The 12,485-nt window shown below is 47.0% G+C and overlaps 1 long non-coding RNA gene across 2 annotated transcripts in view, besides 1 other annotated feature; it reads left to right on the top strand.

Annotated features, from left to right (window-relative positions):
• The window catches only part of MIR3667HG (MIR3667 host gene), a 242,996-nt gene extending 236,243 nt beyond the window's left edge, over positions 1-6,753 (top strand). The window contains exons 3-5 of one of the 2 annotated variants that reach the window (NR_110523.2): positions 4,349-4,462; positions 4,542-4,675; positions 5,242-6,753. This is a non-coding gene — a long non-coding RNA (MIR3667 host gene). The remainder of the gene's footprint in view (positions 1-4,348; positions 4,463-4,541; positions 4,676-5,241) is intronic. The other variant, NR_110522.2, reaches the window with a different exon arrangement.
• Positions 2,074-2,621: an enhancer, noted in NCBI's record as "H3K27ac-H3K4me1 hESC enhancer chr22:49812305-49812852 (GRCh37/hg19 assembly coordinates)". NCBI's record gives its function as "activates a minimal SCP1, AML or CMV promoter by ChIP-STARR-seq in naive H9 embryonic stem cells {active_cell/tissue: H9 hESC(naive)}" and the evidence as "EXISTENCE:reporter gene assay evidence [ECO:0000049][PMID:30033119]".
• Positions 6,754-12,485: the final 5,732 nt, after the last annotated feature.

The following is a 12,485-nucleotide window of genomic DNA, read 5'->3' as shown; positions in this document are numbered from 1 at the left end:
TTCCTGATTTCACATACCTCGTAAGTGATGTATTCACTATCGTTCACCTCCAAGCATTGTTCATTCTTCTTATAATTCCTTCTTTGAATCATGGGCTATTTGGGAATGTGGGTTTAAACATGGGCATTCTTGGCCACTTGCTGGGATTTGCTTTGTACCTGGCACGCCACCTTCTATTCTTCGTCGTCTGTGGCATGGTCTGAACAGATGTGCGCTCCACCTGGCAAGCTCTTATGCTTTCTGCTTTCAGATTTTCCATCTCATTCTCTCTGCTTGATGCATTTTAGGAAATTCGTTCGGATGCACCTCCTGCTTATTGGTGGTCTCTCTTCACTGCGGCACTTGTCCTTTCTCCAGAGAGGGTTGCGTGGCTTTTTGTCAGGACCATTACTCTGCTCGTCAGGAGGCCCCGCGTGACCTACACTGCTCTCCCCACCATAGGGCCGCCCCGGGGCAGCCCCTCCACCTGTGAGCGCCACCTCCAAGCTGCTTCAGCCCAGATCTTCTGATCCCGCTTCCTTGGCAATTTCCATGACTTCCTGAGTCCTTAAAAACAAGAATGCTCTCTGTGGGATCTAATAACGCCTGCTTTCCTGAAAGCGTCTTGTGTTGATTTTTTTTTTTTTTTTTTTTTTTTTTTTTTTTTTGAGACAGAGTCTCCCTCTGTCACCCAGGCTGGAGTGCCGTGTGGCGATCTCGGCTCACTGCAACCTCCGCCTCCTGGGTTCAAGTGCTTCTCCTGCCTCAGCCTCCCAAATAGCTGGGATTATAGGCATGCACCACCACTCCCAGCTAATTTTTGTAGAGATGGGTTTCATCATCAGACCTCAGGTGATCCACCTGCCTCGGCCTCCCAAAGTGCTGGGATGACAGGCGTGAGCCACTTCGCACAGCCCCAAATCATCTTTTAATTGTAATTTCCCTTAGCACTTGGTAATCTTATTCCCTAGAGTGAATGTATTTGATTTTTAGTTTCTTGGGGAAAATGTGAGTTGATTTTGAGGTAAGATATCAGTAAAGCAAGAAAATTCTGGAACAAACCATAATTTTTGTTCTTTTTAATTTTGTTTGTTTGTTTTTTTAGAGATAGTGTCTCGCTCTGTCACCCAGGGTGGAGTGCAGTGGCATGATCTTGGCTCTCTGCAACCTCTGCCTCCTGGGTTCAGGCAATTCTCCTGCCTCAGCCTCCAGAGTAGCTGTGATTACATGTGCCTGCCACCACACCTGGCTAATTTTTGTATTTTTGGTAGAGATGGGGTTTCCCTATCTTGGCCAGGCTGGTCTTGAACTCCTGACCTCAGGTGATTCTCCTCCTTGGCCTCCCACAGTGCTGGGATGACAGGTGTGAGACACTGCACCCGGCCTTGTGTTGATATTGCTGCAACGCCAAGGACCCTGGTGGAGATGGTTCTGCTGCCACCCAACAATGCTGCTCTCCTCCTCCTCAGACGCGAGGTCACCTGAGGCTGCTGGGCACTGTGTCCCATCCTTTCCCAAACCTTATGTACTCTAGATAGTCAAAACATCCAGTGAAGTTAGACTGAATAAATGAATGAGTGAGTGAGTGAATGAACACTGCCGCTGAAGGGCTGCCCAGGAGGGTCTTTAGGAGACGATAAACCATAGTGATCTGTAAGTGGCATTGACTATCAGCAAAGATGATATTTGTGGTTTTGGCCAACTTCTGCTTCTGTGTTTATCTTACACATAAATGTATATTATGTCTTTATACATCAGAAGGAAACAGCTCAGCCAGTGTCTAAATTAACTAAATTCCCAATTAGGAGAATTAAACTTCTATCTGACTTACATGTAATTCTGAGATTATTGAAGTTGAAACTGATTCTTGCTGACCTTCCTTTTGGAAAACTTATTACAATGCAGCGATCAGGCTTTTTAATAAGAGCCGGATGATGTCACATGTTAACGATCTCCCCTCTCTCGATTTAATAACACGTGTCCATATTATTTCCAGCAGTCTAGCTCCCATCCTCCAAAGCCGTGTCTTTGTTTAGTGCTGTGATTGAATTGCATCCTCCAAAACGTAAGGGAAAATCCCAGGCCCCAGTGCCTGTGAACGTGACCTTATTTGGCAATAGGGCCTTCGTAGATGTCATCAAGTTAGGATGAGGTCCTGCTGGGTTCGGCGAGGAGGAGGTCCTAGTCCAATACTGGCATCCTTATAATAAGAGGGCACGTGACACAGACACTGAGAAGAAGGTTCCCTGAAGACAGGGTCAGAGGGTGGAGTGACAGGGTGACGCGTGTCTACAAACCAAGGAAGGCCTGAAACCACCGGAAGCTGGAAGAGGCAGCAAGGATCCTCCCCTAGAGCCTCCAGAAGGAGTGTGGTCCTGCTGACACCTTGGTCTCAGAGAGGGCGTCAATCCCTGCCGTGTTAATCCTCCTGCTCCCACTGTGAAGGTACATTGTCACTGCAGTCCCAGGACCCTCCCCCGAGTCCGGGCTCTGATGCGCTGCCCCGCACCGCCGTGCTCCCCGAGCGAAGCCGAGCGCTGGTTCCAGGAGGCCCAGCAGGTGCAGCGCATCCCTGAGAAGTGAGCTGGTCAGGATCGAGCGGGCCCGGCAGGCGTCTGTCAGTGGCACCTGCCCCTGGCGCAGGTGCTGCCGCTTGTTCACAGAAGGGCCCTGCCGGACGTTCTAGCGCAGAGGCAAGAGTTTTTTCCGCACGTACCCTTTCTGCGCGCCTAGTTCCCCCTTTCCGTCTGGCAGGGCTGCGAGCTGCACTGAGCTGGTCTGCGGCCCACAACAAGCCCGGGTTCCAGCCTGCCCGGCCAGAATAGGTTTTCAGACCCCGTCGCGACAGACACAAAATTCTGCAGGCTCTGGGCTGAGACACACGAGCTCGAACCTGGCCTCCTCAGGCTCTCCTCTGGTCTTCTCAACAGCCAGACGGCCTCGGGCGCGTGGCTTCCTCCTCTCTGGCCTTCCACTTCTTCAGCAGCAAGATAGAGACAGGCACGTGGGAATCTCCCACTTGCCTGTAAAGGATTAAGTAGAAAAATGCCCACAGTGTGATGAAGTTTCTAGGTGTGAGCCGCGATGGATAGACGACCATCTTTATTGGATGTGGATGGGTTGCACAGACACAGCTGTTTAGAGCTTACTATGAATCCAGTGTGGATGGGAAAGTCATGACGATGATGACAAAAATTCCACCCCTCCTGGGGCCGCGCGGGTGCACGTGTGGGGTGTGGGAAGGACTGGCCCCAGCCCAGCAGGCTCCGTCTTCCTGGTGCTGCTCCCCGCTCTGCTTCAGGGACATTTGCAGGCTGGCCACTGGTAAGGGCTGAACATGGGTGTCCCCCCAACATTTGTTTGTGGAAATCCTCACCTCTGTGGTATTATGAGACACGGTTGCAACCCTCGGGGATGGGGTGAGGGTCCTTATGAAAGGGCGCAGAAAGACCCTCCCCACTCCCCTGTAGGATAACACAGTGAAGAGGCACCGTCTGGGGACCGAAGCCCTCACCAGACACCGAGTCTCCCAGCACCTTGATCTTGGACTTCCAGCCTCCAGAACGCTGAATAATAAATGTCTGTGTCTTCGGCCACCCAGTCCACTGTATTTTTGTGATAGCAGCTTGAATGGACTAAGACAGTCGTGTCAGTCAAGTGCCAACAGCCAAGACCCCAGAGGCACCGGCTGAGGGAGCCATGTGGGGGCTTTGGGAAGGGAGTGTGGGGGCTCTCAGGCATCTGGGGCTGGGGATGGGGATGAAGGGGCTTTGGCCTTCTTCTGCCTGCAGTGCCCATCACCTTTGCTGCTGTATTTTGGGTAGAGCTGGCATTGAGCTGGCTTTGGCCTGGATCGATCCTTTAGGAGAAAATGTGAAGTTCCAGAATGAGGTGCATCAGAAGCTGGAGGCAGGCAGACTGCAGAGAAGAACTCGCTGACAATTAGGGCGTCCTGAACAGAGCAGCGGGCCCTGCCAGGCAGCAGGGATCTAATTCCAGGGAACTTCCAGGAAGCCCATTTATCAGAGTTTAGAGATGGAATTTCTCCATCTAGAGATGGAAGATCTCCGGAGGGAGGTCCTTTCCAATGTTGAGCCCCCTGGGGGGGAGTCTAGGATTCCAGGTTTCTCAATGGGAACTGAACACAGTGAATGGAGTTGCCCAGGCTTGGATGAAAACCAGCCTTGCTCCTCCTCCCTTCTTTCCCCTCATCGTCTTGCTTCCACACATCCAACTCACAAGACAATTAAAACAAAACAAAACAAAAAACCAAAATGGTTATTCTTTCAGACTGGAATCTCTGGAGGATTTAACATACTCTCAAACATGCAACACATATTTATGATACCCTTTTGATATTTCTTTTCAGAACCTGTGGCATATTCCTTGGAGTATCTCCAGGTTGAGAATTCATGATCCGCTTGGAATGGGTTTAGATCTCGGAATGAGCTGTCATCCCGGCCCAGCCAGGTAGCTCAGGAAGGTAAGCCGTGTGTAGACTGTCACTGTTGGACGGATGGCTGTTTGCCTACAAAGTGACAGGACGGCCTTTAATTTTCCAGCCCAGCCATTTAAAGATGATGCTAGACAGAACTCCAGATATTCTTGGAGCAGCATCGGCATCGGCACGAAAAGCCCCACGGCCCACAGAACTCCTTGGGAGGCAGCCACGCTTTTCTCCAATCCTGTTTAGTGTGTCAGTTAAGTGACAGTGCCTGGACTTTACAGCCACGTCTTGTGCATTTCTTGACCTATCTGTCCTGAAATAATCAGCCTTCTTGTAACCTGAATCCTGCCGTCATGGGCCCTAAATATTGTATTTATTTATTTTTATTTATTTATTTTTTATTGATCATTCTTGGGTGTTTCTCGCATAGGGGGATTTGGCAGGGTCATGGGACAACAGTGGAGGGAAGGTCAGCAGATAAACAAGTGAACAAAGGTCTCTGGTTTTCCTAGGCAGAGGACCCTGCGGCCTTCCGCAGTGTTTGTGTCCCTGGGTACTTGAGATTAGGGAGTGGTGATGACTCTTAACGAGCATGCTGCCTTCGAGCATCTGTTTAACAAAGCACGTCTTGCACCGCCCTTAATCCATTTAACCCTGAGTGGACACAGCACATGTTTCAGAGAGCACCGGGTTGGGGGTAAGGTCATAGAGCAACAGCATCCCAAGGCAGAAGAATTTTTCTTAGTACAGAACAAAATGGAGTCTCCTATGTCTACTTCTTTCTACACAGACACCTAGATATTGTATTTTTACAGCTGCAAGACCTTCCTCCAAGGAACCTGCTGCCAACTCGCCTGGCACAGACATCCTGACATGACACCACTGCTCATTCCCCACTGGCACAGGACCGGCCATCTCCTCCAAGCCTGAGCTGCCTGTACAGCATCCCAAGCTCTGGGCGCACCTGGGGCAGCCGTGGCAGGAACGCCGTGGGATCTGCTGAGTCCTACGAGGCTGCAGTGGGACCGAGTGGGAACCATGGCCCATGCAGAACTGCTTCTCCCTTGAAGAAGAAACACAGGCTATTGGCTCAGCTGTAAAAGGCAAACACAGGCTATTGGCTCAGCTGTAAAAGGAGATCACGGCATCCGCTTGGATGGGGAGTTGGTGCCAGCTTTCCTGCTACAAGAAAATTCAATCCCAACTGCTACCCAGACCCGCTGTGTCTGCACCACAGCAGTGGGGACCGAGGGCATGCCTGCCATGCCAATCCCGCAGAGGACTTTGCTGCAGCGAGACAGCCCCTTTCTCCCTCCATGATAGAGTTTAGAAGCCTCCTCCTCTTGCTGCCACCGTGGGTATTTAGGTGAGCAGCTGTAGTTGCCGGGGAGGCCTGAGCACAACACTTAACGCTGCTCCTGCAGTTTCATGGGCCATTAACAATTTGCTAATATTGTTTTAGCTTGCAAATTAGTGCAGCTCCGTGGGTAAGGAAAGGCTCTGTGGCTGTCATCAATCAGATGGAAATTCTCCATGCATGAGATGAAAAACGATTTCTAGCCTTTGAGGCTCAGACGGCAATTACTGTAACCAAAAAAAATGGGTGGTGGGGAGCCGGGGGGAAGAGAGCTCCTTGCAAAGTCTGTTAGCAATTCTATGAACTTTATTTCTTGATGCACGAGAGTGAAACTATGAGGATTTCCAGCCAAGGGAACTTGATTTTCTTAGTTACTAATAAAGTGACAATCTAAAGGAGCCCTCTCCAACTGACCTGCTCCCAGAAGGTGGGGAGAGAGGATGTCCGTGTGGCAAGAAGGATGACAAAGCTGTGAGGACCTGGTGACTGTCTTTGCTGAGCTCCCAACTGGTGACGCTCACCAGGAGGATGCCACAGATGGCTCTGCCAAAAGTGCAGACAAACCTTGGCCTTGTTTGTTGGAAACCATGTTGCTTATCCCCCATCCCTCCCACCTTTAAGCACCAACATTTTTTCCTTTTAAATATTGATACGAGACTGGGCTGGGCATGGTGGCTCATGCCTGTAGTTCTAATGCTTTGGAAATCTGAGGCAGGAGAATCACTTGATCTCCAGTTCTAGACCAGCCTGGGCAGTATAGTGAGAACCCCATCTCTACAAAAACATTTCAAAAATTAGCTGGGTGTGGTAGTATGCACTGTGGTCCCAGCTGCTTGGGAGGCTGAGGCAGGAGGATCACTTGAGCCCAGGAGATCAAGGCTGCTGTGAGCCATGAACGCCCCTCTGCACTCCAGCCTGGGCAACAGAGTGAGACCCTGTCTCTTAAAATAAAAGTGAGACTGTTATGAAATATGTTCTTCACAATTGTGTGCCATTTCTGTTTGGAAGGTGGTTCAGAGAGAGGGTTATGAGCCAGGCGATCTAGGGTTGAGTCCTGCTACTAACACTGGAGCAGGTTGCTATTATTATTAGACATCCCATAATGAATAGAACGTAATCCAGCCAGGCTCAGGGGCTTCAGGAGGCCAGTGTGAGTTGCAGCTATGGCTGTGCATCCTGGCTGCAGCAGGGTTCAGGGTACCAAGATGCTTCTTGTGTGTTTGACAGGGCTGACAAGCACTAACTTGCTTGGTGGCCTCAGCCACCTACCTGTACAACAGACCCCACCATTATCGCTCCTTGTTATGGGCTGATTGTGTCCCCCCAGATTCACAGGGTAAAGCCCTGTCCTCCAGTGACTCTCAGAACGTCACTGTATTTGGAGACAGGGCCTTTACAGAGGTGATTGTTACAATGAGGCCATGGTGATGGCCCCAATCCAATATGATCAGAGTCCCTATAAGAAGAGGAGATTAGGACACCCAGAGCCCAGCAGGGCTGCTCCCACACAGCAGAAAGACCAAGGGAGGATGCCGTCCACCAGCTGAGGAGAGAGGCCTCTGGAGGAATCAGCCTTTCCCACATCTGGATCTTGAATTTTCAGCCTCCAGGACCCTGAGGAGGTAACGTCTGCAGTGCACGCCACCCGCCTGCGGTGCTCTGTTACAAAGCCTGAGCAGCACGATGCACTCCACTATACAAAGGAGGATGCAGAGAAACCCAAAGCATCTTAGCAGGCCAACGGCCCCAGGGGCAGCGGGGCTCAGGTGCAAGCTGGGGCAGTGAGAACACAGAGCCGGCCCAGGGAGCAACCTCACGGGTTCCTTTCCCAAAGGAATATTCCTGTAGGTTTTTGAAACCACTATGGGTGTATCTGATAAAGCACTGGAGCTGGTAGGTGCCACCAGGCTGGGATTCCATTCTCCTGTAATCTGGTGGGGAGAGGAAGGGTCTGAGCTTCCTTCCAGCACCCGTCTACACTCGCATCCCGGGTCCCGCTCTTGCTCCACAAGAGCTTGTGGCTCCTTCCTTCTGGGTGCAGAAACAGGCCTATCTCTCCAACTTACGGCCTTCTGTAATTCCTCACTCATTCACAACAAATGGTCATTGGGGAGCTTCTGGTTTTGAGGAATATTCTTGCAAATGCACCTTGTGGATGGGGGAGTTTCTCCTGCCCCCGGGGGCTCCCAGCACGTCACAGCAGGGGGTGCTTGGAAGAGGAGATGCCCCCTTAAAACCAACCTGCAACTGAATTTTGGTCAATTCTGACCCACTGGTCTCGAGGGCAGTCCTGCCAGCTGCACCCCCTGGGTGGGTTGTGGGCCCCCCATGCCTGGCCAGCACTGGGGCTTCCCGTTGTTTCGTCCTGGCCAAGTTCCTGGACAAATAATCCCTTACTGCGACTTCACGTTGTCTTTGTTTTGTTCCTTTAAGGTTGAATCCTTTTTCTTGGTTATTTTCTGATTTTTCCCTTCTCCTGTGATTTGCCTGTTTATAGATTTGGCCCATTTGTTTTCTCAGTCGCGGTGTTCGTGTTGACTTTAAGGAAATTTCATGTTTTATGGATGTGAATTTTTTGGCATATGGAATGCAAAAGTTTTTTACAGCTTGCAATTTATGTATTTGCCTTCTTTGCTCTGCCTTAACACTTTTATACACCCAATTCTTTCTTTTTTATGGTCTGGATTAAAACTTCTAAATAAAAAAGGACTTTCCTTATAAAAACAATAAAATATACTCTATATTTTATTTTGGTTCTTTTTTATGTCAAGTTATTAACCTTTGGTAATTTAATTTGTATTAATGAGAAATTATTTTTCCCCAAATGCTTAACTGGTTGGCTGGTGCCACTTAACGAATAATCCATTTTTAAGACTATGTTTCAAAATAATGCCCTTTTAATTTCGACAGGGCAAGTCCTATTTTATTCGTTATTTATTTGGAAAAAAAACAAAAGCAGTAGCTGCTCTCGGGTCAGCCAAGACATTGGTGACCAGGGTCTGCGTTCGGAGCCTTCTGTCCCATGGGGAAGCAAAGAGGCCCCTCGGGAGTTCGGGGCTCACGTGGGCCCACGGCATTCTGTGCCACCCACGACATTCTGTGCCACCCACGTGCCCGATGGGTCTTTTCTAGTTTTACATTAATATTAAATATACATAATGCAAAACATATAATATATATGCAATATATACGGTTGACCCTTGAACAGTACATGGTTTAAAGTTCATGGGTCACTTATATGTGGATTTTCTACCACCTCTGCCACCCCTGAGACAGCAAGACCGGCCCCCGCCCTCCTCCTCCTCCACTCCCTCCACGTGAAGATGAGGATGGGGACCTTGATTATGATCCACTTCCAGTTAATAAACAGTAAAGGCATCTTCTCTTCCTCACCATGTTCTTAATACAATTTTCACTTACTTTATTGTATGAATACAGCATATAACACAAAGTATGCATTAATTGGCTGTTACTGGTAAGGCTTCTGTTGAGCAGTAGGTGATGAGTAGTTAAGGTTTTAGGGGGGGTCAAAGTCACATGGGGATTTTCGACTGTGCAGGGGTTGAGGGGGTCTTTGTTCCTAACCCTAACATTGTTCAAGGGTCAACTGTATAATATATAGGATTTTATTCAATAATTATATAAGTATTTATAGTATTTGTTAGGTATATAGTATCTATAGGAATATAATATATGACATCACATACTTGAAAATATTGTATATTAGATATATAAATATATAAAATATATTATATAAAATATATAACAGGTAAAAAATAAATACAACTATTCTGCATTTATAATTATATAAATAATACATGTGAATATTTATATTAATTATATATATTCCTGCAAAATGAGTGAAAAAAAAATTAGTATCTGACTCAAAGGATGCCTGTGAAGGTTAAAAGCAACATCACAAGAGGAGCTGAGACCTGGCTTGGGGGAGGCAGCGATAAACTCGAGGCATTGCAGGTTTATGATCCTGAGTCACCGGTCTGGAAAGAAGAGTGAGGTGAGCACATGGAGGGACAATGGAGATGCTCCAGGGCATCTGGGAAGCTGAGGCACAGAGGAAATGCAAAGACCAAGAAGGGTCAGGGCAGAGGGTGGGCGAGGGCTTCACGGCAGGAGAAGGTCCAGGGGCAGGAGAGGACAGGGCTGGGTCCAGACGTTGGGGACATTTAGCAGGGCTGGGGGGACAGCAGTGGCAGTGGGGGGGGGGGTTCAGGAACAGGTGAGCTGAGACATTAGTGCCACCTGCCAGTTTTATATTGTCAATAATAAAGATTATAGTTAGAAGTAGCCAAACCTAAGTAAAACTAACAGTGGCTAAAACTGAGCATTGATTCAAGATTGATGAATGAATGAATTGTGCTTGAAAAATAAATTAGATATGTATAATTTAATACCCTCAAATTGAACTTTATTGGTACAATTGCTCTAAAAATCCCTAAAGGCAAAAACTATCATCAGGAAGATTGACATGGCTGAAAGAACTACTAGTCATATCTTTTTGAAAAATAAAAATGTGAAAAGTGTGATCCAAATGAAAATATGTCAATTTAATGGAAATGGGAACAAAATATTGGGAATATTGCTTTATCTGCCCATGTATTTAAATTTGATTCAATAATTGAATTGGATTAATAGAATATGAAAAATTTCTGGCCAGGTGCAGTGGCTCACACCTGTAATCCCAGCACTTTGGGAAGCTGAGGTGGGTGGATTGCTTGAGGTGAGGAGTTCAAGATCAGCCTGGCCAACATGGTGAAACCCTGTCTTTAGTAAAAATACAAACATTAGCTGGGTGTGGTGGTGCATGCCTGTAATCCCAGCTACTCAGCAGGCTGAGGCAGGAGAATTGCTTGAAACTGGGAGGCAGAGTTTGCAGCAAGCCAAGATCACACCACTGTGCTCCAGCCTGAGCAACAGAGTGAGACTCCCAAAAAAGTATATATATAAAATATATTTAAAACATATTTTACATATAAACTATATATATATAAAATGTATATATAATTTCAACTGAATGGATGCTCATCAGATTTGGTGTGATTCTGATTAAAATATTTGCATCAAAACATCTTTCATGGTGAAATGGCCAACTCCAGGGCTGTGGTGGGGAAGGTGCACTGCTGTGCCAAGGAGTGAGAAACTGCCCCCCAAATGGTGGAGAACTGTCCTGAGAACACAGGAGCCCCTGGCCAAATCCAGGACCACTTAAACGTCAAAATAATTGAGGACAGAAATGAATTATGGATCACTGAGCAACTGATCCGTGAATGGGCTTGGTGGCTACTAGGAAGGCTCTTCCGTAGAGTAGCTGCTGACCGAGGAATAGGGCATTTTGCAATCACCAGAAGTAACTGGCTTCAGTAAGAATGGGGATGCACGCTGTCAATGGATGCCAAATTTAGAGGGAGGATTTTTTACTTCATTATTTTTAACTTTTTATTTTAAAACAATTTCAGGCTTACAAGAAAGTTGCAAATCTTTGTCAAAGAATTCCCGCCCATGTGCCCTAAATGATATAGCTTACATACACATCAATTATTTTTGGTGGAAGCTAGCTCGATTCTGTACCTGTTTAACTTTTTGCCCACAATGTTTAGCATCCAATCAAAAATTACAAGACTTAGTACATTAAAAAGTATATAACTGAATAACTGAAAATCAAGAGGAAGGAATGAAACAGTAGAAACTGGTGACTTTGATATTGGAGTTATTAGGCAGGGAGTTGAACTACCAATAATATGTGCAGAAACTAGAGAGGAAGGTGGAGGTCAGCATCAGAGACCAGGTCATAGCAGAAGGTAAAAAGGAAATGTACATATATAGAACAAGGGATTAGTGAGCTGAAAGCAAGGCATGAAAAACTATCCTTATCTAAACAAAGGAGAAAACGTGAAGAACATTGGAAGAGTGCTGGAGACATACGGGGAGTGGTGAACATGTAATGTGTATGTGAATAGAATCCTAGAAGGAGAGGAGGCAGAGAGTGGAGCAGAGGCAGCATGTGAGAAATGATCCCCGGGAATTTTCCAAAGGGATGAAAGAGTCAAACTAAAGATTCAAAAATCTCTATGACACCTAAGCAAGATAAATACAAAGAAACCCACAGCTAAGCACATGAGAGTCCAACTGGAAAACTAGAATGGGTTTACAACTATCAGACAAAGTAGACTTTGAGGCAACAAAAATATATATTAGAAATAAAACATTTCACCTGTAATCCCAGCACTTTGGGAGGCTGAGGCAGGTGGATCACGAGGTCAAGAGATCGAGACCATCCTGGCTAACACAGTGAAACCCCGTGTCTACTAAAAATACAAAAAAAAAAAAAAAATTAGCTGGGCATGGTGGTGGGCGTCTGTAGTCCCAGCTACTTGGGAGGCTGAGGCGGGAGAATGGCGTGAACCCAGGAGGCGGAGTCTGCAGTGAGCTGAGATCAGGCCACTGCACTCCAGCCTGGGCAACAGAGCGAGACTCCGTCTCCAAAAAAAAAAAAACAAAACCAGAAATAAAAAATTTCATAATGATAAAAATGCCAAATCAATGGGGTGTATGACAGCTATCCATTTGCAAACATTTACTAATTTGTAAATTGTTCAAGAGAAATGGGCAAATCTACTATCATATGTATAGATTTTCATGCTACTCTCTCTGTAACTGTTGGAAAGAGAAAAAAATTGGGGAGGA

This window comes from Homo sapiens, chromosome 22, assembly GCF_000001405.40.
Source record: "Homo sapiens chromosome 22, GRCh38.p14 Primary Assembly".
In the NCBI taxonomy this organism is placed as follows: domain Eukaryota; kingdom Metazoa; phylum Chordata; class Mammalia; order Primates; family Hominidae; genus Homo; species Homo sapiens.
Note: the sequence above shows the minus strand (reverse complement) of the source record. Positions and strands in the feature narration are given on the sequence as shown.